This window comes from Homo sapiens, chromosome 4 (genome assembly GCF_000001405.40).
Source record: "Homo sapiens chromosome 4, GRCh38.p14 Primary Assembly".
Lineage (NCBI taxonomy): Eukaryota > Metazoa > Chordata > Mammalia > Primates > Hominidae > Homo > Homo sapiens.
The window spans coordinates 41934826-41960803 of record NC_000004.12 but is presented as its reverse complement, the minus strand read 5'-3'; the positions used below and the strand labels follow the sequence as shown (position 1 = coordinate 41960803).

The 25978-nt window shown below is 35.4% G+C and overlaps 1 protein-coding gene across 3 annotated transcripts, besides 3 other annotated features; it reads right to left on the bottom strand.

Moving 5' to 3' along the window:
* Positions 1 to 25667, bottom strand: TMEM33 (transmembrane protein 33). Of its 3 annotated transcripts, none has more exons than XM_005248116.5 (8): positions 25494 to 25667; positions 25275 to 25337; positions 22108 to 22202; positions 21421 to 21608; positions 16990 to 17057; positions 15878 to 16011; positions 11419 to 11502; positions 1 to 6734 (listed from the first exon to the last, which is right to left on the bottom strand). In XM_005248116.5, exons 2-8 carry the CDS (start codon positions 25317 to 25319, stop codon positions 6605 to 6607), a joined length of 744 nt encoding a protein of 247 aa, XP_005248173.1. In that variant the 5' UTR covers positions 25320 to 25337; positions 25494 to 25667; the 3' UTR covers positions 1 to 6604. The 3 variants fall into 3 exon arrangements, with proteins under 3 accessions (XP_005248173.1, XP_005248174.1, NP_060596.2); XM_005248117.3 differs by having other exon boundaries at positions 25542 to 25667; NM_018126.3 differs by lacking the exon at positions 25494 to 25667 and having other exon boundaries at positions 25275 to 25375.
* Positions 24986 to 25055: an enhancer, noted in NCBI's record as "active region_21510". NCBI's record gives its function as "activates an Ori minimal core promoter by ATAC-STARR-seq in GM12878 lymphoblastoid cells {active_cell/tissue: GM12878}" and the evidence as "EXISTENCE:reporter gene assay evidence [ECO:0000049][PMID:35858748]".
* Positions 25066 to 25115: an enhancer, noted in NCBI's record as "active region_21509". NCBI's record gives its function as "activates an Ori minimal core promoter by ATAC-STARR-seq in GM12878 lymphoblastoid cells {active_cell/tissue: GM12878}" and the evidence as "EXISTENCE:reporter gene assay evidence [ECO:0000049][PMID:35858748]".
* Positions 25356 to 25535: an enhancer, noted in NCBI's record as "active region_21508". NCBI's record gives its function as "activates an Ori minimal core promoter by ATAC-STARR-seq in GM12878 lymphoblastoid cells {active_cell/tissue: GM12878}" and the evidence as "EXISTENCE:reporter gene assay evidence [ECO:0000049][PMID:35858748]".
* Positions 25668 to 25978: the final 311 nt, after the last annotated feature.

Sequence of the window (25978 nt, the reverse complement as noted above, 5' to 3'; positions counted from 1 at the left end):
GCTGAGGCATCAATGTAATTTTTCTTTCCTTTTTTTTTCCAGTTACACCTTAGATCACATTTTTACCAGTTTCACATCAGACCTCAAAATCATGGCATCTCTATTATTTGTGATGGGCTGAGGATAAGAGGAGTGTGTTCAAATTCACCTTATTCTAACAAAAAGGCAATTAAGCTCAAAGGAAAGCTGATTTCTAACTACAAATGTTCTTAGTTCTTTTGCAAGATAACATTTTTGTATCTGCTAAATTCCAGAGAGATTTTTATTCCACAATTAGATTTTAACATCAATAAAATCTTAGATATAACAATACAGATGAAGGAACAATTGAATTTGCATTGAAATAAATATTAGACATACAAAGCATATACAGTGAAAAAGGGTCACAATAAATTACAAGTAGAGACATTATTTCCCTCAATCACCAAAGAAAGCCCTTGATACTTCCAATTTCACACCATCAAATTTATCATTCTTGCTGATTTAAGCAGAACACAAAACAAATATGGATCCCAGGGCTTACTTTCACAGGTACCAGCATGGATAATTTACTATCGTGATCCAATTTGGAAATCAGTAGGGACCAGTAAATCACTGCATAAAAGAAAGAGTGAATGAGGTCCTTTTTCCTTAGTGTCAGCAGGCTATGATTATTATGTTTATTAGATTTTCTTGAAAGGACTTCACATTTTCTCAAATATGCAGGAGAACTGTATTTCCCCTCTGAGCCCTACATTAGCATTTATGTGCTTTGGTCTTGAATACAGGGGAATGAATTTTTCAATTTATTTTATAAATTTATATAGTCTGGATAGTATTGGCCTGAAGAATGTAACTCCCCAACCTGTACAATATTAGATATTAAAAATGGATTCAAGAGAAGTTACTAAGAAATGCTGACATACTGTATATACAAATTTTTAGTTCAATATATGCCATTATATAAAGCACCAAAAGTAATGCCTTTATAAATCAAGCCATTTTTTATGACTCTGTTTCTAATCTTTGTAACCCTTTTACATTTGTTCCAATATACACACATCATAAATGTTACTTGCTCAACACTTCACCGATTTGGTCTCAACTTAAAAATATATATGTAGGCAAAAATTAATGTCAAAAGGAACTGTTCTAACAGTTACAAGAGAAAATAGTAAATATTTGGAATTAAACTGTCATGAACAAAGAAAGAAAAGGTTAGTTTCAAAGTGCTAGGCACATCAAGTGAGTAGCTTCAGAAGGCTAGGTAACATGAAATAATTCTTAGGCCACTCTTTCTCATGGAATATGAGCTAATTGTTAGATTTCAGCAAAGACATCCATCTATAATTTTTTCCTATTGTTTTCTAAGAAAGGAATCTGCTTTAGATTTTAAAATACTGTGCTTTCTTTATCTCTTGTCACATCAACTGACACTGCAGGTCAGATTTCCTACACGCACAAGAGGAGAAAGACTATATAGAGTTAATCCATCACACTTGACTATGTTCCTTCTAAAGAACCCATGTGAACATCACCTTAAAACATAAATATTTCCTAGAATAGTTACTACCAGTAAACCTCCCAAACCTTTAGAAGCTCCTTTGTTCTCCTTAACAGCAGATCCAATCATAACTTTCTACCCTGAATATAAGACTGCTCCTTAAAACAATCTCTGGAAATAACTCCTAGATTTACACGGGTATGCCTTTGGTATACTAAATGTTGAGCTATAATATCATATAGGCTCTGTGGAATTCTCCTAATCCTAGAGAATTCCAATGAGTTAAGGGAAACTAGTTGTCTCAGCCAGGCTTAGTGGCTCACACCTATAATCCCAGCACTCTGGGAGGTCGAGGCGGGCAGATCACTTGAGGCCAGGAGTTCAAGACCAGCCTGACCAACATGGTGAACATGGTGAAATCCTGTCTCTACTAAAAATACAAAAATTAGCTGGGCGTGGTGGTGCACGCCTGTAGTCTCAGCTACTAGGGAGGCTGAGGCATGAGAATCGCTTTAACCCAGGAGGCAGAGGTTGCAGTGAGCCAAGACTGCACCACTGCACTCCAGCCTGGGCAACTGAGTGAGAATCTGTCTCAAAAAAAAAAAAAAAAAAAAAAAAAAGAGCGAGAGAAACTAGTTGTCTCTACAAGCCAAGCATAATTTTCAAATCTAGGTGCCATTCCTCATATAATATCTACAAATTTCAATATGCTTTTATATTACTATCAAAAGTCTAAATTTTAAAAGAGGTTCAACGGGCTATATCTAGTCTACCTACAAAATGATCATGAAAACACTTTAAGTACCATTTTTTACACATCTGAAAATGAAGGAGAAAGGATAATTTTATATTAGTGTGTTTCGGTGATGTAGGCACTTAGCATGAAAAGAAAAAACTGGATAGACCTTGATCTGAATGGTGTCACTCCAAATTGTGGCCTATTTTACTGTTTTCCTAGAAAGCACATATTGACAGGGTACTTCTTTTGAATAATTCAGTATTTTAAAAATGCAAGCCAGGCACAGTGGCTCACGCCTGTAATCCAGCACTTTGGAAGGCCGAGGTGGGGGGATCACGAGGTCAGGAGTTCAAGACCAGCCTGGCCAACATGGTGAAACCTCATCTCTACTAAAAATACAAAAACTAGCTGGGCATGGTGGCGGGCACCTGTAACCCCAGCTACTTGGAGGGCTGAAGGAGAATTGCTTGAATCCGGGAGGCAGAGGTTGCAGTGAGCTGAGATGGCGCCATTGCACTCCAGCCTGGCCAACAAGAGTGAAACTCCGTCTCAAAAACAAACAAGCAAACAAACAAAAAATGCTTAATTTTTTTTTTCAATCTTGAATGATTACATATTTAAAAGGGCCATGGAATTCAGGGACTTAGTTTTATAGCTGACTCAGCACTTTTGGTGGCATTTAACCTTCAAACACATCATGTGAAAATGGGGGGCTACCTGAGGAAAGAGTGCCACCTACTGATTATAAACATAACTGTCCGTGGCTACTTCTTCCTTGAAGTTTTCATTTCAAAGTGTCAAAATTAGTCTAATTTGTGTGACAGCTTTGAGACTGTCAGATTCTAAGGAGATTAAGGAAGGAAGAGGTGGTGGTCAGAATAACCTATGTTAATCAAAATAAACTCCTTAGCATTAGTTAAGGTTCTTTACCTCAATCTCTCAAAATTAATGTTATTCTGAACTAAAACTTAAAAAAAAAAAAAACTAAATCTCTCAGTTCTACTTGTCTTATTACACATATACTCATCTTCTTTTCCAGAAAAAAATAATATTCATGTCCTAAACTTAGAAACCTAACCTGAAGTTTTGATCTGGATTTTTAGGAAGAAGGAAGTATTGATGGTTTCATCATTCTTAGCTCTATAAAAGAACCTATTAATTTTTCATAACTTTTAGCTTAGTATTATAGTTGGCCTTTTCTCTGTAAGGGACATTCTTAAATATTCAAGTCTAATTTTCTTTAAAAAGTTCGCTTGCTTTCTTTCTTCCAGGAGGATCTACCTCTGAACTTCATTCCAAAAAAAAAAAAAAAAACCTAAATACAAATTGCATAATAAATTTCTCTTTAGATTGATATTAGAGTTTAAATTAGTAAGGTACCAACTATACAAAAGGACAGAGAATCCTTGCTAAAATAAAGTAGATTTTGTATAAGGCTTCCATCTATCCAAAAAGGTTTAATATTTAAAAATGCCAGAAGAACAATGGTACTACACCACTTCCAGAAGAATTAGACACACTGGATGTTAAATGAACTTCTTTTAAACCTGTAACTAACAATAAGTTCAATGATGCAGTAAAGAGTTAATTTCTGTTACTACATTCATTCTATATATTGCTATTGTATTTCCTTAATTTTAATTTGATAGGTATACATGTAACACTATAATTTCAAATTCCAAATCAGCCGGTTGTAGATATTCCTATTGCAGAATTTCTAACTATGAGTTCATGCAAACTAAACATCTAGTAATGCTCAAATTGTAAAATTTACTTTTTCGTAAGTTTAAGATTACCTTTTTTTGTATATTAAACCTTCCTTTAAGAAACAAATCTGTTTCAACTTGTCAAACATGAGTATATCAGAAATATTATAATTCTGCTAAAATGACATAAAACCTCAATTTAAAGCACAGAGTGTTATTTTATACTGTAATATTTTTAATGTTAAAATGCTTTTTGTTAAAACCAACATGGATTATTGACCAATTATCTTGACCAACAGTACTTTTCAAAATAAACAGGAAAAACTCAAAACAGAGACACACAGATCTTTAAAAGACAATCATGATTTTAAAAAAATCATGGATCATGGTATAAACAGAGCACACAAAAGGAAAATAAGAAATGAAAAAAAAACTGTTGAAATTCAAATAAGTTTTATACTTCAGTTAGTAGTATTGTTCTGGGCTAATATCTTACTTTAGATAAATGTTCTACAGTTATGTAAAACGTTAACATGAGAGGACCTGAGTAAAGGGTATGCAAAAGAACTCTTCTTGGCAGGGCGCGGTGGCTCACACCTGTAATCCCGGCACTTTGGGAGGCCGAGGCAGGCAGATCACGAGGTCAGGAGATCGAGACCATCCTGGCCAACATGGTGAAACCCTGTCTCTACTAAAAATACTAAAATTTTGTATTTTTACAATACAGCTGGGACTACAGGCGTGGTGGCGTGCACCTGTAGTCCCAGCTACTCGGGAGGCTGAGGCAGGAGAAGCACTTGAACCCAGGAGGCAGAGGCTACAGTGAGCCAGGATTGCGCCACTGCACTCCAGCCTTGGCGACAGAGACAGACTCTGTCTCAAAAAACAAAAACAACAACAAAAAAACTCTCTTGTACATTTCTGACTCTTCTATAAATCTAAAAGATCTTTTTAAATTATAGGAAAAAACTAACAGCTTCAAAATAAACATGACTTCAGCTGCCAAAATTTCTTGATATAATTCAAGACTTCATTTTTTAAAACATAATTAGAAATCAACATTATGTTTACTTAACATTATAGTCATTTTATTGCTCTAGAAAGTTTAGTTTCTAAAACCATTGGATTACTTACATAGTGACAATAAGACTAGCCACATACACAAAATCAACTGTATGAGGCTGCTTCTCCAGCTTAGTGGACAAATATTACAAAAATACAAAAATAGCTGATTATAGTTAAGCTATCAAGTATAATTTTTCATGTATTTATCCTAAGAATATCCCCTTTTTATAGATAAGGAGATGAACAAAAATAAAACTAATGTTACTGATAAATTACTAATGAATGTATTTGAGAAATCCAAATTACATGCAGACAGAAACTGGTCACAAAAACCATTACATTTCTCTATACTAAAACTGTACAATGTTTTAAACATTTCCAATCATGCAACGGTAATGAAGATCAGCATGAATTTTATAAGAGTTGATGGGAGTTCAATGAACAGGATTTAACACATTTTACAACCCAAATCAAAGTTGAATAATACATCCAATTCCCCTAAATTTATCTATGCGTTGAGACTGAAATGCACATTATTCCCCCACAACTCCTCCCCCTACCCCATTCCCAATCAATTACCTTACCTATAAAACCTTCCATTTAACCTTTTAAGTCAGATTTGATGGGTAAACATGTAATCTACAGTATACTCTCCATTATTATTTCAGGATAGACACACATATAGTCAGATGCTGAATCTTCATTACATTCCTTTCAAAAGGCATCTAAACTGTTGCAATTGTCTATGAAAATTCAAGCCTAAGAAACCAAGAAAACTGGCAGTCAAGATTCTGAACTAGGTAGTTCTACAAACTATAATACGAATAATCTATATGTCCACATTAGTAAAAGAAGGATTTCCTGTTTGAGAAATGTTTCTCAATGGCTCTTTGAAGGGAAAGCTGTGTCACTACTGCTTTCTGCTTTCAATGGCTAGGTGACCCCAAATATTTATCCAACTGGCTAAGAGGCTTACAGTTGAGCCTTTTAAAAAATACTCAAGGCCACAGAAGTACTTACGGAAATAAAATTTTAGAAGATCATAGTTTAAGATACATAGAATTCTTCTTATAATGGTACATTCAAAACACATCTGTCCTAACAAAGCAGCATAAAACCAATTAAAAAAACAATTTGAAATTAAATACACTGAGAAGTGTTAAAATCATTAACCAAAATTACTGAATGGTAGAATACTGTCTCAAAATGTACTGAATTCACATATGTGTATCACCATAATGAATTCATGCCAGATATAAACTCAGGTTACCAATTAGGTTGAAACAAATTTTAGAGCTATTTTTTTTACATGAGAAATTAATGTACTTCATGATATAGGCACAACAGCATCTTTTTAAAAAAACTGGTATATTTATCACTAGATACAGACTTCTTTAACCATTAGCAACACAGCGCAGTAAAATTTTCTCAAAACTTTTTAAGCTTGATTTAACATGCCAAGAAAATGATTATTTTTCCACCGAGATGCATTTATGTAAATTATGTAAATTGGATTGAGGTCAGTGTAACACCTGGAATTTACAACCCCTAGCAGAAGTACCAGCTGCTAATAATGCTTATACTATATTTGTAGCTTAACTAGATGTTAAACTATGGAACTGTTGGTGCCAATCTGCTTATAAAGGCAATGCTCTGGAGACAAAGTCTTCTCACAAACAGTGGGCAAGCAGGTTTCATTATTATGTGTTCAACAACAATCCTCAGTTCATTAAATAAGGTCCTGCAAGACAAAATAGTTTTCTTTGAGAAACACAAGGAAAAAGCAATACACAGGCTTACCTCATTTTATTGTACTCCATAGATATTTCATTTTTTACAAATTGAAGGTTTGTTGCAACACCGCATACAGCAAGACTATCAGTGCCACTTTCCAACAGCATGTGCTCACTTCATGTCTCTGCGTCACACTTTGCCAATTCTTCCACTATTTCAAATGTTTTCATTATTAATCTATTATGGTGATCTGTGATCTGTTCTGTTACGGTGATCTCTTTGGTGTTACTATTGTAACTGTTTTGGGGCACCACAAACTGCACAAATATAAGATGAAGCAGTTCATGAAGGCCATTCCTGATTGGTCTCTTTCCCTCTCCTCAGACCTACCTATTCTTTGAGACACAATACTGAAATTAGGCCAATTAATAACCCTGTAATGGCCTCTAAGTGCTCAGGTGAAAGGAGGCCTCCCATGTCTGTTACTTTAGATGAAAACTAGAAATGATTAAGCTTAGTGAAAAAAGCATGGCTAAAGCTAAGACAGGCCAAAAGCTAGACCTCTTGTGCCAAATAGCCAAGCTGTGAATGCAAAGGAAAAGTTCCTGAAGAAAATTAAAAGCCCATTTCTGTGAACGGATGAATGATAAGAAAGCAGAACAGCCTTACTGCTGATGGTAATGCTATTGCGCACTTAGCAGACTACAGTAGAGTGTAAACATAACTTCTGTATGCACTGGAAAACCAAAAAATTCATCTGACAGCTTTGTGATATTCACTTTATTGTGGTAGTCTGGAACCACTCCCACAACATTTCTGAAGTATGCCTCTAATGCTAAACAAATACTCATGAAGGAATCTACCATAGCCATTAGAATTTGAAGTAAAAGAATAACTAGAATGCATTGTAGAGAAAACACAAAATACAATGAAATTCTCAAACAACACCTACATCTTTTATGGGTGGAAACACTCATTTAACAAAGGTATTTAATAAATGGCTATCTCTAAAACCTCAGATTAAATTTTAAAAATTATATATATATATTTTAGAGTCACATCATTTTCACATTTAACTTAGGCAATTTCAACTAGTTTTTTAAAACAGAACAAGAAAAAATATACTACATGGACAGTGTTTTTTATATATTTTAAAATATATAACATGGACAGTTATATTTATTCACCCACTATTTCCTTAAATGTACATATTGTCCCTCAGAGATTTCCTCTTCTGTAAAATAATTCTGAGTTGTGGTGAAATTTAAATGCAATATGGAAGATGCTCAATAAATGTTACTTCCCAGTTGGATCAATACACTGAACTATGACTCTTTTATGCCTTCCGACTAAAGCCCAAGTACTCGGTGTCACACCCAATACCCTCCACAATCTAGTCTCAATCTAATTTTCTGCCCCATCTCCTGCCACTCCCTGCCCTCGCTCCTATCATCAACTTATGTTGCATGTTTGTGCCCAAAACCATGTGGGCTTTGCCTATGTCTTAACTGTGCTCACTGCCTACAAAGTATTATTACATACTGTAGATATCACATATATTATACAGGCTAGTATACACAAAATCATGTATACTGTACTGACATTTATAAGTGATATGAAGGATCATCAAGGGTAATTTTAACCATTCACAATTTTCACCTTATGTGCTGACTCATCCTGTATAAAGATGCAACTACTATTCTACCTTTTTGTGTCCTGTTTTACTTCTATGGTTAGAAAAAAAGCAACAAATCTACTTTTCTAAACAAGTATTTAATATGCTTGCACAGAAAGACAGGAATAATAATATTTGGAGTAATGCATAATTTTCCAAAACCTGCCCTTCCTGTATCTCCTGTCTTCGTGAGAGCACCATTACAACTCTTAGGCTTCCAAGCCAGAAACCTGTGGGTCTTTAATTTACTCTTTTCTCTCAAGCCCTAATATCCTATCTCCTAATACCTTTCATATTTGTCCCCTTTTCCTTTTACCACTGGATTAATTCAGGCTCTAGACTACTCTAATAGTCTCCAAATTGATATTTTTCTTCTCTTGCTGAGCTTGCAATCCATTTTCTGGAATATTTCTAAATCAGATTTCATCATGGGGGTTCCCAGCCTCTCTATGTTACAATCTTCAAAGGCTCTCCTTACCTCAAAATAAAATCCAAACCCTTTCATGATCTAGTCCTTTCTACCATCTACCTTTGTGGACACAGATATTTATCAATTCTCTATATACTTCCTGAGCTCAAGTATGCTAAGCACTTTTCAGGCACCCATGTGTCAGAACTCAGGCTCATTCTTTAAAAGACTTGGCTTATGTTCCCACCTCCTCAGTGAATTCTTATTTGTCTCTGTCTGTTCTCTATGCTTTCAGAGCACCTTCATCATCACACTGACTTACATAGCTGTCTAATTTATTCAGCAGTGAGTACCTCTGAAAGAAGATATTTTAATTCCACATAAGTTCATCAACATACAATCACTGTTTTAACCAATCAGTCAAATGAATAAAGCTAGAAGACATGAGGACTAATGAAGTCAATCGCTTTCACTAAAGTCACATAGTTCTTTTATTACTGGCTGCATCGCTGGCACAGACCAAGTCAGAGTTCCTTAACAGCACGGACAACAGAACTTTGAACAATGATAAAATTTTTGCATATCTGTGCTGAAGGACCAGTCAGAGAGTTCCTTAATAGCACTGACAACAGAACTTTGAGTAATGACAAAATTTTTGCATATGTGTGCTGACCCACAGTTGCCATCAGCAACACATGGCTTTTGAGTACCCACCTGAACTGTGCTCAAAAGGAACCAAGTTCTAAGTTTTATGAATTTTATTTAAAGGTCAAATGTGGTTGCTGTGCTGTACTGGACAGCACAGCTATAGACAATCTGCACTAGAGATCCAAAAACAACTGAAACCACCAACTTGAGAATAAATATCGTAGGTGAAAATGGTACAAATTGTGAATAGAGATGGTCTCAAAACCTTTAATTAAAAAAAGTGTAGTACTGAAAATGTAGTTTTATAGCCTGTTTATCAATATTTACAAGCTGAAATATTTTCCATTACCTTTCCACTGGTTTGGTTAAAATGGGTGCTTATAAGACAGCTTTGAAGATGTTTACCAGCACATATTTGTGTTATCTTGATTCACTGCTATCCTTTCCTTTTCAGTCCACTGAAAACTGAATTCTAGATGTACTAATATGATTTAAGGGTATGTGAAGAAAATGGGAATGGAGAAGGAGGCACAAAGAAGCACAGAAAAACAAATATGCTGATTAAAATAACAGATGTCAGGGCAAGAGAATATAAGATAATGTCTGAAATGAATATAGGGACCAGAAAGAAAAAAGGCTAAAACTCAAGAAATCAAGTAAAAATGAATGTTAATTTGCTACTAGAGACTCACTAAGAACGAATGTCTAAAATAAGTTCTATTTTAGAAAGTATTATAAAAAAGACATTGTCTAATAGAGCATAAAAACGCTCTGAACAGAAAATCAGATCATAGAATAATGAAAATGAACTAGTAAGAACATAACAGTCTAAGTACTTTTAAAATATTACTTCGCTTCACCCCCAGAAGGAGTTATTTCCTCTACCAATGAAGAAATCCAAATAAATAACCTGCCTAGTCACACAACTAGTTAATGATGGGCCAGCATTCAAATTCAAGTTCTTTTTACTGTACTTATGAAAATATACAGATTGCTGTAATGCACTCATTGGATTTCTAGCTGAATTCTACATTATTTTAAACTTAAAAATAGATTATCTTAATATTAGTATTTGAGTATCATTTTAGTTTTACTCCAATGCTTGAGATCAGAATGCATAATTTAGTGTATATTAATTTAAGCCTCCATTCCTGAAAACTACAGTAATTCCCTAAAATTTCTCTGCTTCCCCATTTTTCTGCTTCAAACTCTTCTGGCACAAGGGTATCAGAAGAATATTCTGACGATGTCAAAACCATCATTCCCATTCACCTAAAAGATAAATTCCAAACTTCTTACCCTAAAACTCAAGAAGTTTTATAATATAGCTCCAATATACCTTTCTAATCTTAGCTCCAGCAATTAGCCATTCAGAATCTCCATTAGAGTCAAAACAGCTCTACATAAAGTTCCTCAAATATGGCTTGTGCTTCTCGTCTCTCTTGCCCCACCTAAAATGCTTTTCCCTATTCAAAAGCTTTACTCCTCCCACAATCTCAATTTTGTGAAACCTTCCTGGGCTCATCTATCTTCTGGCCCAATGATCTCTCCCTTCTGTGGACTGCAGTACTGATATAATAAAGCAAACATATGGCATTCATTATCTATTGGCTTGTGAATTCTGTATCCTAACCATTGTTTATCTAATTGACACGTGTTTTGTTTCTTCAACTAGGAAAGTTGAGAGTGGAATCTATGTCTTATACATTTTAAAATTTGCTAAGTTTTAGCAGTGCTTTAGAGGTGGCGTAGATAACTGCAGTCTCAGTTTCTAAGAACAAATACAACCACTTCCTCACCAACCCCAGTACATTCTAAGGCCTAGAACTTAAATTTACAAAAACACTGCTTGCTTCTAAAGTCTAACACATTAGCTAAGTAACTCTTAAGAATTGCGAATACTATATATTCACAATACTCTCAACAAATAAAACATGCCTAAAATAATCATCAGCTTACCGACAATATGGGTTTCTTCGAGACGAATATCGAAGGGTAAGAAATCTATAGTATATAAAAGGTTGGAGCAAACTTCCTTGACCACTGAAATAAACAAATACAAGCGTGATAAATATACATTTCAATTCATGTGTATACTCTCAAAACTTAAAAGCAATTCAACTGGAGAATATGTGTATCTTCATTCATCAAATGGTCATAGTGAAATCTATCATGTCTAAATCCAAGTTATCCTTAAAAAAGGATATAAAAGAATGTACATGATTGGTAAAGAGTAAAATGTTGTTTAATTTTTTTATAAATGTATTCTTATCTGTATTACTTTTGAAATTTTTTAAAATACTAAATAAATCAGAAAATGTTAAATAATTCCGTAATTACTAATTGATGAAATCAAGTTGTAAAGCTTCATAAAATATGCAAATGAAAAGTGACTTATTTTATATATATAAAAAGAAACAAACACTCCCCTCCACCAAAAAAATTACACTGGCTCATCAGTAAATCTAAACAGCCTATACTAATTATTGTTCTTGGTTAAAAAACACAATTACAATATCCCAAGAATTATATATATGTTTATGAAATACCAGGTCTGGAATTCTTCCCTAAGAAAAACTATCTGAATTAAGACATTCACTGAAATAACTACAAACAAAATGTGGCAACAACCTAATGTGAACTGTAAGGAAGTAGAATTGAACAACTTATATTATGGTTATTTAATGGATTTAATATGCAACTACCTAGAATCTTGGTTATGAAAATTACATAGCAACTCTGAAAAAAGCAGAATATAAAACTACACATATTATTACAATTGTATTTTTTTAAATTGGAAGAAATATATTAAGATGCCAAATGTGTTTTATTAGGTTTTTTAGCCTTTTCTTCTAAATTGTATCATTTTCATTAAAAAAAATTTACACGATTACGAACTTACCACTAAACAAATGCAACATCCATTTTCCCTAATAATTTGACAAATTTTTATCTTTTTAAAGTGAAAATGTAAGAGACACAACATAGAAAATATAAATAGAAAATATTCACTTAAAAAACAAGTTTCCCATCATCCAAGTTAGCCCCTTCCTCAAACTTATACCACAATCTCGAATATGTCCTTCCAGAAATGTATATATACAAGTGTATATAATGACTAACATTGATAGTGCTCACTTTATAATTCACTAAATCTGTTTAACAACTCTAGGACAGAGATGGTTTATCATTCCCAAAAAACTGAGACAGAAACGTCTATGTCCTTACACACATACACCCCACTAAATATAAATGGAGAACACCCTACACAACTAAGTTTAACTTATTATATCTTGGTGATTATCCCATATCACAACACATAAATTACCGCAATCTTTTTTACAGCTTCAAATATACCATCTAATGCTTGGACTATTATGTAACAAACTCCGTACTAATGAATATTTGGGTGGCTCCAGTCAATTAGAAGAAAAGCCACAATGATCCTTTTACCTGTCTTTGCACACATGTGCAACGCATGTGTAAGATAAACTCAGACAATGCATCAATTTTTAAATACAGAGCTTGAAGCATTACTGGCACAAATGTAACTTGATAAAGCCTCCTAATATTAGACTGTGTGTATACCAGAAAGGGTAGCATATTAAGAATAGCAGTAATGTAAGACTGTTCTTAATTTTATTGTTTAGGTCATATTCAAACTACCTACTTAAGGCATTAACAGCTTTTCCTAATAGGAATTAAGTACCACTTTATAAGCTGATTTTAATTTTTCAAACAAAATTATTTCTCTATTTAAACATTTCTGGTAAATTCTCATCTTTTTTACAGTAATCTTAAAAATTAAGATGGTAAGTTTGTACAAATAAATGTTTAAATTAAACATTTAAGGAGCACAATTGAATTAATGTACCAACGCAGTCAAAACCTGGTGCTCCTAACAAAAAATTCACTATAGTTCCAAAGTGAAGTTTTTGTCTAAGTTTGCATGGCATCTCAGAATTTCATTAAAATTATTTTAATCTGATTTAAGAGGAGCATAAGAAATTATTTTGCTTACTAAACAGAATCTGGAGGTTTCAGGATATAGACATCAATTATACCCATACAAAAAAACTAGTCTCGGTATCTATCTTTTTTTTTTTTTTTGAGAGGGAGTCTTGGTCTGTCGCCAGGCTGGAGCGCAGTGGCACGATCTCGGCTCACTGCAACCTCTGCCTCCAGGGTTCAAGCGATTCTCCTGCCTCAGCCTCCCGAGTAGCTGGGACTACAGGCACACACCACCAGGCCCAGCTAATTTTTGTATTTTTAGTAGAGACGGGGTTTCACCACATTGGCCAGGATGGTCTCGATCTCTTGACCTCATGCTCTGCCAGCTTTGGCTTCCCAAAGTGCTGGGTTTACAGGCTGTGAGCCACCGTGCTCGGCCTGGTATCTACCATTTTAACTTTCATCTAGTTACATGAAACAAATCACAGAACCTGTGATCCTGACCCAAAAGCAGGATTAAGTGACACAAAAACCCGAGAAAAATGAATAACAAAAGGGAGCAAAAAGTTCCTCTTACTAATTAATAATTAAAGTTTCTAAGTGTAGATCAGGATCACAAAAGAAAGAGGTGGAAAGAAAAACCTATAAATGATGGAAAAAATATTAGAATGTTGATGTTGTCCCTTTTTCTGCTGTCCCAGATTACATTACCCTTTTCTTTTATATGCTTTCAGCTTCTAGGATAAGAGGATGCTTTTATTAAATTTTAGGGTCAAGGTTTTAGAGTTAATTTACAAATACAACTGCATCAAATCTAGTTGGGACCATACAACTTAAGCAACACCAGCCAGTCCTGGAGTTCTCAGAAGAAAGCACTACTTAAAAGAATGAAACAGATATATATTTATAAGGAAATCTATAAAACTCTGTTCTTAGTTTGAAGAGACTGCTATAGAAAGAAGTAACTGTCAAGTACATGAAAACTTTACTAGTTAATCAAGGCAAGGTACATTTAAAATTATAAAATATAACTATATGATCAATAAGGACATTTGTTACAAACTAACAAAATTATGAAAAACAGGTAATACAGACATTTTAAAGAACAATTTAGCATGGTCCATTAAACACAAAAGGCACCTAGCTTGTACTAGCAAAATCAATTCTGGTATCTATGTTAAAGAAAACACTGGCATTAAGTATAAGCAGGTAAAAAATATTTACTGCATCAATATTTGGAAAACTGAAAATTTGGAAACATATTCCATGATCAGGAGATAAGTTGGAATGTTATACGGCTAAAAAAAAAAAAAAAACAGAACTGGATATGCCAAATCAATTAGGTTATGAAAACATACAAGTGGGAAAAAGGTACAGAATAACACTTTTTTTTTTCCTTTTCTTTTTTTTTTTTTTTTTTGGTGAGACAGAGTCTCACTCTGTTGCCCAGGCTGCAGTGCAGTGACGTGATATGGGCTCACTGCAACTTCCACCTCCCAGATTCAAACAATTCTCCTGTCTCAGCCTCCCGAGTAGCTGGGATTACAGGTGTGCACCACCATGCCTGGCTAATTTTTGTATTTTTAACAGAGACAGGGTTTCACTATGTTGGTCAGGCTGGTCTTGAACTCCTGACCTCAAGTGATCTGCCCACTTTGGCCTCCCAAAATGCTGGGATTACAGGCATGAGCCACTGTGCCCAGCCAGAATAACATCTTTGATGTAAAATAAGAACTAAACAAATTAACAAACAAAACTCCACATCCATAATATATATGTTCTACAAATTTGTATAAGTATTTTTAAAGGACTACATACATAGACACATATTAAACTCCTTACACCTTTGGGAAGAGGACAAAATTGCAGCAAGAATTCATATAGTCAAATGCTATTTTAGCTTTTATCTGTAATGTCTCATTACTTGTAAAACTAAAAATTGATAAAGCAATCATCTGGGTAGCAAGGTGTATTGTTTTAAAATGTAATGCAAAAATTTCAATGCAGAGGTCAATACTATTTTAATGTTCATACTTTTAAAAGGATGGCTTTCTTTATTCATGTATTACTTCTATAATTAAGATACAAACAAAATAAGGTGATAGTAGGCACTATTAATATAAGAACATAATTTTAAAAGTTTTTCTCTAGTGTAAGAAACATCATCTCAATAGTGACAGACTGGACTAGATTAGATTTCATAAGATTCTTTCAAAGGTGGTAACTATGAAAGTAATTTTTAAAATGTCAAATGATAAATCACAAGGAATAAGACAAATTCCTAGGTCTACTATATTTCAAGTTCTCTACTATAAATGACAAAGGTTAGATTAGGCAACTGCTAAGATTCATTTAGCTCTACATGTCAATACCTACCTTCAACAGATTTAAACAGAATAAAACTTGAGTTACTATCTTTATTACGTTCAGTCATCAGCCTCCCAAAACAAATATAATTTTTCCTTACCTAAAAAGCATAAAAACTGTCGCAGGCATCAGGAATATTTCATTGCAAGCAATGAATTTCAGAATATTTTGTTGATTAGCACTTAATTTGTCCAAGACAGATCTCAGCAGAGGTAAACTATTTGAGCCCCTTGCCTAAAACAAAAGAAAACCAACATTAGAAATAAGTGAAGCATTTCTGATAACAATATTTTCTTTCTGTAGGTAAACAGCCTATCCAACAGGCAATACAACCAAATATACTACTTTGGAAATGATGGTACGAAGTTCACAAACTATTTAAGGACAAATATAGTATATTTTCCTGCTTTTTTACATTTTTAGACTTAATATAAAAAACAACTTTAGTAAAAGTACTTTTCATTCTTAGCTGCTTTTTCTCAAGAATGATTATTTAACAAAAAATAGTGGTTATTTCTCTCTAACCACAACAAAATCTGACTATCCAGTAATACAGTTAAAATATCTGTGACTCCTTTCTTAGCTAATGTTAGAATTATACAGCAGTGTAATTACTGCTGTGACCAAAGAATTATAGGGATAAAGAAAAAGGCCAATACAAAGCATAAATCTGGCTATTTTAATTCAAATTTCTGTAAATGTGCTTGGTAAATGTGCCTGGATATTTTAATTCAAATTTCAGTATATGCTGTAAATGGCCTGGTGCCAAGTTAGGTTTAATGCTCCAACCTAGCAATAAGAAAGAATTTCAGGAAAGCAGCAGTTCTGAAAATTAGTGTACAAGAGATTCATTCAGTACACTCAACTTATCAGGTATGCCAGAATTAAACACTGACAGAACAAGAGATCTGACAACTCAACAAACTTTAGAGACACAGGTTTCAAAAAAACTGATCTATTTCAAACTTGAAAAATTCCCCTGGAGACTGGGGGGTGATTTTAAGTGCAATCCTTTATCTATAAAATGTTCTAGTTTGTGAAACTTCAACAATAAACACTTTTAAACTTAAAACTTTCAAATCACTAAATAATTCATAACAAGTTTGTAAGGTATAGAGGGACTTTTTGTGACAAATACCAAAATGTCTTAGAACTCAAATTCATGTCAATGATCTGTAATTCAGAAGTCAGACAAAGAGCAGTTTTACTTACGTCAAGGACCTTTTTCGTATATGTGGCAGCATGAAGCAAAGAGAATAACAAGACTGGGAAGATACTCACTAAAGAAAACAATTAAGGAAAACATTTAAAAGTCATCAAGTATTCTGCAAAACAGACTATGTATTATGTCCAAATATACAGATGTGAAACATCTGCTAAAATGAGTTCAGTGGAATGGCTTGTTTTACTGATACACTTTAAGCCAAATCAAATTTTGTTCACTATAAAGAAGAAAGTAAACTATTTCATTTTCTAAAATTCACAGTTCTTTTTTTTTTTTGAGACAAAGTCTCACTCTTCTCCCCCAGGCTGGAGTGCAATGGCGTAATCTTGGCTCACTGCAACCTCCACCTCCTGGGTTCAAGTGATTCTCCTGCCTCAGCCTCCCGAGTAGCTGGGATTATAGGCGCCTGCCACCACGCCCAGCTAATTTTTGTATTTTTAGTAGAGATGGGTTTTCACCATGTTGGCCAGGCTGGTCTCGAACTCCTTACCACAGGTGATATGCCCACCTCGGCCTCCCAAAGTGCTGGGATTACAGGTGTGAGTCACTGCGCCCGGCCAATTCACAGTTCTTTTCATGACAAAAATTAATAGTGAAAAAAAGGTTTTTCCTTCATTTCTACTGGGTAACAATGTAAACACTTGCTAAATTAAACTGAAATCTAGGCCACCCCAAAGGGTTGTAAGTATAGCTTCTAACCCTACAACGGCTTTCTTGGTCACTCTAACTTAGCCTTCAAACACAGTAGTTTTACAGTGCTTTCACAATCTCAAACGCTGAGGAAAGAGTCTAAGGTAACAGTTTAAAGAGTAATTCCCAAATTTTTAGTCCCAAAGACTAAAGATCTTTTATTACTTCTTTCCTACAAGGACTCCATTATTTTGAGATACTATACCTAACAAGTTGTCACAGTTATGCTCTCAATTTGTAAAAATTAACAAGGCAGTATGTATTTTGCTTTGTATATAGTCAATTGAAACTCTCATCAGCTTAATTACAGACATAAGGAAAGAATCCTTTTGAGTCCAACTGTTTGGCTTTATGCCATGGATAAACATACATTTTTCATTCAACTTTTTGAAAAATGGAAATTGTTCAAAAGACCCCATTCTCCACCCCAATTTCTGCCAGGTTGATTAAAAAAAAAAAATTGTCAAGTAGTTCCACAAAATGATATAGACTGTTAGTCAATCACAAATGGCAAAAATACTTGTCCTAAAAATATTACCAGTTCCTAAGAAATGAACCATTGTATTTTTCTATACTAACTGAAGGCCTAATATGACAGGAAATAGTGATTGCTGTAACATAATCTGAGTATCAAATTCATTATAACCATAACTCATTTAGGAATTCAAGGGTCCCAGTTTCCAATTGACAAGCAAGACACCAACCTATATCCAAGTATTAGAAGAACCCTAACTCCCTAATATAGTTCTCCAAATTAATATCCTGACCAACTCATTCCCACCTCTAACAAGAATTAAGAAAAATGTCCATTTCCTAAGTAGAGATCATATATGTATATAAAAAGTTTTAAATTTTTTAATGAATCATAGACTACTTTGAAACTGATGGAAGCTACAACCCTCTCCAAAAGTCACTATAAAACTCTGTCGATCCTTAAAGAATTCAATTTAAACTTTGACACATATCCAGACTGAATTCAATAAAAGGGGCAGTGTCAGGTAGTGAAAATAGAGCCCTGAATTGGGAGTCAAGATACCTGAGTTCCACTCCTGACTCTGTCACTAACCTAATTTTCCTAGGTCAAGTTTCATGCTCTGGCAAATGAGTATGCAGAGATCAAAGCTAGAAACTGCCAATGAGTCTTTTATGTCTAACATTCTATAGTTCACAAATCCTTGGTAAGAGATTCATAATCTTAGTCTTCAACATTACTCTTAAACTATTAATACAATGTATTTAGAAAAGATAAGAGGTGAAATGCCCTATCTGTTATTAATCAAGCAAGGACAAAATATCACTTTTATAAGAAGAAGGATCAGAACGCAAATCTGTAATATTACTTTGGGCCCGCTTTTATTTATTACCATATCACTTTAATAATCAGATTAGCATTTGCTGCCAATTACTAGTTTATGTTATTCCCACTGTTTACTACATTCCCTTTGTAAGAATTTAAGGAATATGAAATCCTTAATCTTCAACATTCCCAGGAAAGAGGGGCTACCAAATAACCAACTGTATAAAAAGGCAGAAAGGTTTTCTTCACCAGTCATGAGTCTCATTTGGCAAGACCTCAGGATTCACTCAACAAAACTTACTGAGTGCCTGATCTGTGTGAGGCACTGTTCCCAAAGTTATTGACGTATTCAGTTTACCCTACATTGAAACACATTTTCTGTCATTTCTATTTCTCCCTCCAAAGAAATTTTAAGCTACTAAAAGGCATGACCAAAAATCTCTACATAACTTCCCGTTATAGCTCAGAAAGGCTAGAATTTTAACATTGGTGACTGCAAAGCACTTCAATCAACAGAGGCTGGTCAAGCCAATAATATGCCAAACAAATGTGATTATCATTTACAGTTGTAGTATAGTAATCATTTAATGAGTTTTACCTAAAAATAAACCAATACAAATTATGATGGGACATTACAGACTCATGCATTGAAACAGGAAAAATTTTATCCTTACATTTCAAACTACCCACATTATCTCAGTGAAGTGAGTAATTTAAAGGGAATCTCCATATACTGAATATTTAAATGAAATTACCAGGTTTACCCACATACAGAAAGAAATATTTTTAATGTATACTTAAGTATTACTCACCCACTAACTGTAGATAAGGTAGAGCTTTTAAGTTAGAAAGACTTTTTCAGCATTACTACTTACTAGCCAATGTGTGGGAAGTGAATACTGACAATCAGCAAATCAGCATCTTTATTAAAAATATACCACAACAATTTTTTTCAGAGTGCTACAAAGATTAAATGTCAAGTTCTTTTTTTTTTTTTTTTTTTTTTTGAGAAGGAGTCTCGCTCTGTCGCCCAGGCTAGAGTGCAGTGGCACAATCTCAGTTCACTGCAACCTCCACTCCAGGGTTCAAACGATTCTCCTGCCTCAGCCTCCCGAGCAGCTGGGACTACAGGCACATGCCACCATGCCCAGCTAATTTTTTGTATTTTTAGTAGAGATGGGGTTTCGCCATATTAGCCAGGATGGTCTCAATCTCCTGACCTCATGATCCGCCCACCTCAGCCTCCCAAAGTGCCACCGCACGTGAGCCACCGCGCCTGGCCTAAATTCAAGTTCTTATACTGGCAAAATAGGTGCTCAGGAAATTTCGGTTTCCTCCTATTTCTTTTCCTTAAGACTTATAAAAATCTATTTAAAAATTTGATACTTCATGAGCATAGGTATCTAAATAGGTAATATTCAGTCTCAGAGGAATATTTTATTGTGCTTTACATAACATACAGATGTATCATAAATATTCAAAAGCTCTTAGACCAGCACTTCTCAATGCACAAAATGATTTGCAGAGATAATCTACAGGAAAAAAAACAACCACAAATTTAAGTTTAAAAAACCCTACTAACTCTCTTAGTTTCACAACACACGTTAGAATACCAAAGCCACTATAGTAAAGAACCCTATTTAAAAATGTTTGACCTGGCTGGGCGTGATGGCTCACGCCTATAATCCCAGCACTTTGGGAGGCAGAGGCAGGTGGCCTGGGCAACAGAGCAAGACTCTGTCTCAAAAAAAAAAAAAAAAAAAAAAAAGAAAGTTTAACCTAGTGTTCACTATAGAACCTCTTCCCCATTTTTCCCCTCCTTTATGGACTACCCAGTATCATCCCACAACACACCTTTGAAATGTGAAAACATACAAATTCCAAATGAATTATTTCTCATTAGCTTCACGGATTATCCATGTGTGTCCTTATTTTCTACTCTATACACAGCAAATATTAATTTCTTTGTATTGATTATCTCATTACCTGCTTAAATAAGTTGTTTCTTGGTTAAATTCCATTTGTATCTAGTTCACTGGGGTTAAGATGGAAAGAGCTGAGGACCTCTCTTTTTTAAAGCAAGACATCTGGACACTTTGCCAAAAACGTGAATTAAATGAAAAAAATGTAAATATTAAAGTAAGTTCTGCGTAAGGTTGTGCTTCGAAGGGGAATTTGAAAATATCCATTCTAATAGGGAAGCTTACAAGAGGCAAGAACAAAGATAGTTTAAAATTCCTAAATCAGCTCTTCAAAGTTTAGATTTCACATTTTAAAGTCAGAAATTCTTACACTAAACATATCTTCATTCAAATGAAGTGCCGAGAACAAACCCAGGCTTCATGGAATGCCTTCATTGCTGAAATAATCAGAAGAGATCTCCTATATGCTTAGTTGGCAATTTCATTGTTAACAAGGTAGAAAAGGATACTTGTAACTGGATAGGAATTTACAAAGATGAGTGAATACAACAGGTAGTGGCAGCTGTCCTCTAACAAAGCCTGGGCCAGGAATGCTCTGCTTAACTGGAAGTGTGGTAATCTTTGATGCAGCCTCAGAGCACTGGTAAGAGCATTTGCCAGCAAAGCACGTTGGTAAAAGCTTGCTGCTTCATGCAACCTGCAAATTACCAGAGGAGAGGTTATCATGAGACATAAACAACTGCAGTGTCTCTTCCTCCTTTGTGAATTGCATCATAATTGCACAACACCTAAATCACTTGTCAATAGAAAAAAATTACATGAACTTATTCTACCGTTTTAATAGCTTCACTTCATATATATGCCCAACTGAATTTCTTATAATCAATTTATAAAATTGAATTTTATAAAGCAGGACCTTCCTGTCAAGTAATAAGTAAAAATGAAAAAAACATGAACTTATCTCATTCCCACACATCAATTTTTCCTTGGATTTTCAATGTGTTAGTTTCACAAAGCACAAGATATAAAATATTCCTCTGATAATGTTATTAGGTTGTTAGTACCTGAAGGCTGGAACTTGTATTTTATTTGTCCCTAAACCCTTTACAGGTTAATAAGTCTTACACCTAAAAGGCACTCCATATAAACTGACTCAACAATTGAATATCAAAGGCAGCAATATGTATAATACATACCCAAGAAGAGGCAGAACAAACAGAGCAGAGCAGTAAACTGTGAACAAGCGAGAAAGCCACATTGCCGTGTCCAGTTTATTGGTCATCATGAATTGCTAAATTTAAAAAGAAAAATACTGTAAGCTATGCCTGCAAATCATGTTTTTAAGCATCAAGACTGTGTGGTTTTTATGTCTACTCAAAATATTTTAATCTTCCTCCATTTGTTTTTTTAGATCATTAGGTGAAAACTCTAAGGCAATTACATGTTTCATGTATATGCTTAATGAGAAGTCCAAACACCTTATAGTTTTCATGTGGAAAGCACAAGAAGTACTTAAACAGAAATAAATAGAAAAATATCAGCTGACATTTTAAAAAAATGCAAAGACTAATTAATTAGAAAAAATAATCTTAACAGAAATTCAACTACAATTGTCTGTGTTCCTTTAACACTTGCAATATTGGCTTCATCTATTTTAAAAGAACATTAAACAAAAACTAATTGCTCTCAAGAGATCCATATGCCTATTCTTAGCAAAAAATCTCAAATCCGAATAGGTAGGTCTCAGAGCTGAGTAAAACATCACATAAAGCCAGTTGGGATTAAAGAAACCTTTTGAAGAAGAAATATAAAACCATGATAGTAGTAACAACTAAACTCATTCGCCTTGTAATCTGCCTACATGCACAAGGGCCTGGCATACTCTAGGTGCTCAAAATGTGGCTGACAGGTATTAAATGGCCACCTGCCTCTCTGATTACACCACTCTCTTTATCACCTCCATGTTCCCCCACAAGTCTTACCCTAGTTTCGGTGGTCCTAGATTAAACTTTCCTATACCATTTTCTTCCCCCATTTTTTTCCCATTCTATCTTTCCTTTGCTGCTTTCCCCCCAATACTTATGTCTATTACCACTAAAGCAGAATCTTAAAATGTGTTTTCTCATTAAAATGTATCTTATATTCAAAAGTGGCTTTTACATTTTTTGTCTAGGATCTTCGTAATTTTAACATTGAGATCCATATACATGGATATATAAACAAAAGTTTCACAAATATTTACCCTACTGTATATAATGGATTTTGACATTTTCTATTTAATTTTTTAAAAATAGCTGGTGTTTACACTAAACTGACTTCTCAACTCACTAATGGGTCTACCTGAAGTCTAAAAACACTGCTCTATGTAATTTAATTTCATTATCTTTTGAAAAAAAAATATAAAAAATTTGAGGGAAAAATCCAAGTACATTGTAAAATTCCAGGCTGTTTTATTTTATGTCTTTTTAACCCACATGTAGGTAATTTCAGAAATATGAAATACAACTTTGATTTATCATTAAATCCAGACTTACCGTACTGTGACTCCAATAAACTGAAATGATTAGCAGTAATCAAGTGAAGGATGAATCCAGCTTACTGTGCTCAGTTTCTCAACAAATATTATGACTGGGCACCACAGCTTGAAAGTTAGTTTTAGAACATTCTCCTTAAAATCTATTTGTTCAGGTTGTTTATTCTGCAATAAATCATTGAGCTATGCGTTTCATTTTGTACACACTTATGTATATTATACAATTTTAAAAGTTTAAGAAAGTCTATTGGTATACATTTTTTAAGAGTAAACTGTCCAACCATCAGGCAAAAAAAAAAAAAAATCACTAGATCTTTGGGTGAAAAATTGTTGAGGAGCAATATTCACACAGTGTCACAGTATCATGCCAAAGAACACTTTTTAATTAGAAAGGAAAAAAGGTATCTTTACAATGGAGAAACTGGTGGACACCACCTTAATCAAATAATCAAACAAATTCTGCAATGATGGGATAAATCAATGTAAAATGCTTCCTGATATATAATATAGATATACATATTAGATGTACCTATATATGCTGCAAAACATGTCTGGACTCTTGAAAACTATCAGTATCTTAAAAGACAAAAAAGGGGAGGAGAGGGCAGAACTGTTCTAGATTAAAAGGCAGTAAACAAGATATGGCCAGTAAATTGAATGCATGCTTTCTGAGATAGGGTCTCGCTCTGTCACCCCAGGCTGGAGCGCAAAAGCACAACCCACCTCAGCCTCCTGAGTAGCTGGGACTATGCTGGGACTATAGGAGCGCACCTCCACGACCGGCTAATTTATGTTTGTTTGTTTGTTTGTTTGTTTTGAGAGAAGGTTTTGCTCTATCACCCAGGCTGGAGTGCAGTGGCGCGATCTTGGCTCACGGCAGCTTCAACTTCTCGGGCGCAAGCGATCCACCCGCCTTGGCCTCCCAAAGTGCTGAGATTACAGGCGTGAGCCACCACGCCCCGCCTAATTTCTTTGATTTCTAGTAGAGATGAGGTCTCGCTATGTTTCCAAGGCTGGTCTCTAACTCCTGAACTCAAGCGATCCTCCCGCCTTGGACTCCCAAAGTTCTGGGCTTACAGGAGTGAGCCACTGCGCCAGCCCATCGATGCATGCTTTTTGACAGAATCCCAGATGAAGAGAAAGCAGCTTTAAAGGACAATTATGGAAATTTGCACATGGATTTTATATTAGGTAATATTTCCCAAATGTGGTAACTGCATTGTGGTCACACAGAATAATACTTAACTACTTATGGATTAAAAAGTAGAGGACAGCAATGCTCCGGGCACAAATAACTTGTTAGCTCCAGATCAGCATCTTAAAAAAATTACAAAAGCATAATGATATTTCTCTTCATAAAGAACAAAGTGAAGAAGAAAAAGACCACCGCTCTCCTCCCTTTGCATAATTTCTATATACGATTGTATAAACTAGGCAGAAACGTTCTTTGCCGGCACTCGTGTGCTCCACGTGGTGTGTGTCATGGATCATGTGTGTCATGGCACAATCTCATGCGGCATCTTTAACCTTGGGGCCTACGGTAAACAAAAGACCGAGGTGGGAGAAGAGGAAAGAAGGCCCAATTTCCATGGCATACAGGTGGGGGCCACCAGCTCCAGGTCAGCCTATTGTCGCTTCAGAAACAAACTTGTAGTTCCCTCCATATCTTCGCTCAGGACCTCCCCTCTCCCCGCTCCAACTTCCCCACCCCAACTCATTAATCCCATTCCTGAATGCACTGAGCTTCTGGAACGCCTCGGGACTCGCAACGCTTCCTGCTTCTTCCTAACTCTTGCAAATCAAGCCAGACTACCCTGCCCTCGCACTTACCACAGCGCCCGCCCCTTGGGGGCCGTTCGGGGTCGTATCTGCCATGGGGGCTCACACTAGCGTCTGCGACGCCGCAACCGCGAAGAGAGAAGAAAGGGGAGAGAAAACGTCAGCGCTGGGGCCAGGACCCGGGTACCGGCTTCCCTGCCTCGCGCCACACACAGGCCGGATGCACCCTGCCGGAACTCTGAGCCTCCACCAGGGAAGGGTCTCGCTCGCCTGGTGCAGCCGACTGGATCCAGGGCACCCGCAGCAGCCGGGAGGTACCTGTCCCGCACCGCCGAGATCAAAGCGGTGTTTCCAGAAAGACGGGAGCGAAGGTGGAGCTTCGGGGTGAAGCCCTAAAGAGCCAACCTACGCCGCCGGCTCCAGGTTATTGCCGAACCCGGAAGTGCTCCTTTCATTTCCGTGGGGAAGAGGCGGTGACAAAGAGGGGGAAACGGGAGCGGTGCCCAGAGGCATGACGGGAAGTGTGGTTTTTTTCTCCTAATTTGAGCCCCACCTGTCCTTCCGCCGATTGGCCCAGTGAGCTAAGAAATCAGGATGGGGGAGCAACTTTTGCATTAAATACAGCTCACAAATGATCTTTCCTGCCCATTCTCAAACCATGAAATTTCCGCACTTCCTGATATAGAGGCCTCAGAAACATCTTTGATTCCTTTCTCCAGGGGCTTACTAAGCCCGTTGGTTCTACGTCTATTATT

Bases quoted from the DNA above. Each gene is read 5' to 3' on its own strand.
- TMEM33 (XM_005248116.5), bottom strand. From the start codon at position 25,319: ATGGCAGATACGACCCCGAACGGCCCCCAAGGGGCGGGCGCTGTG. The intron at 22,203-25,274 runs GTAAGTGCGAGG...TTTTAAATTTAG, and splicing joins CCCAAGGGGCGGGCGCTGTG to CAATTCATGATGACCAATAA. The intron at 16,012-16,989 runs GTAAGTAAAACT...CTTTTGTTTTAG, and splicing joins ATACGAAAAAGGTCCTTGAC to GCAAGGGGCTCAAATAGTTT.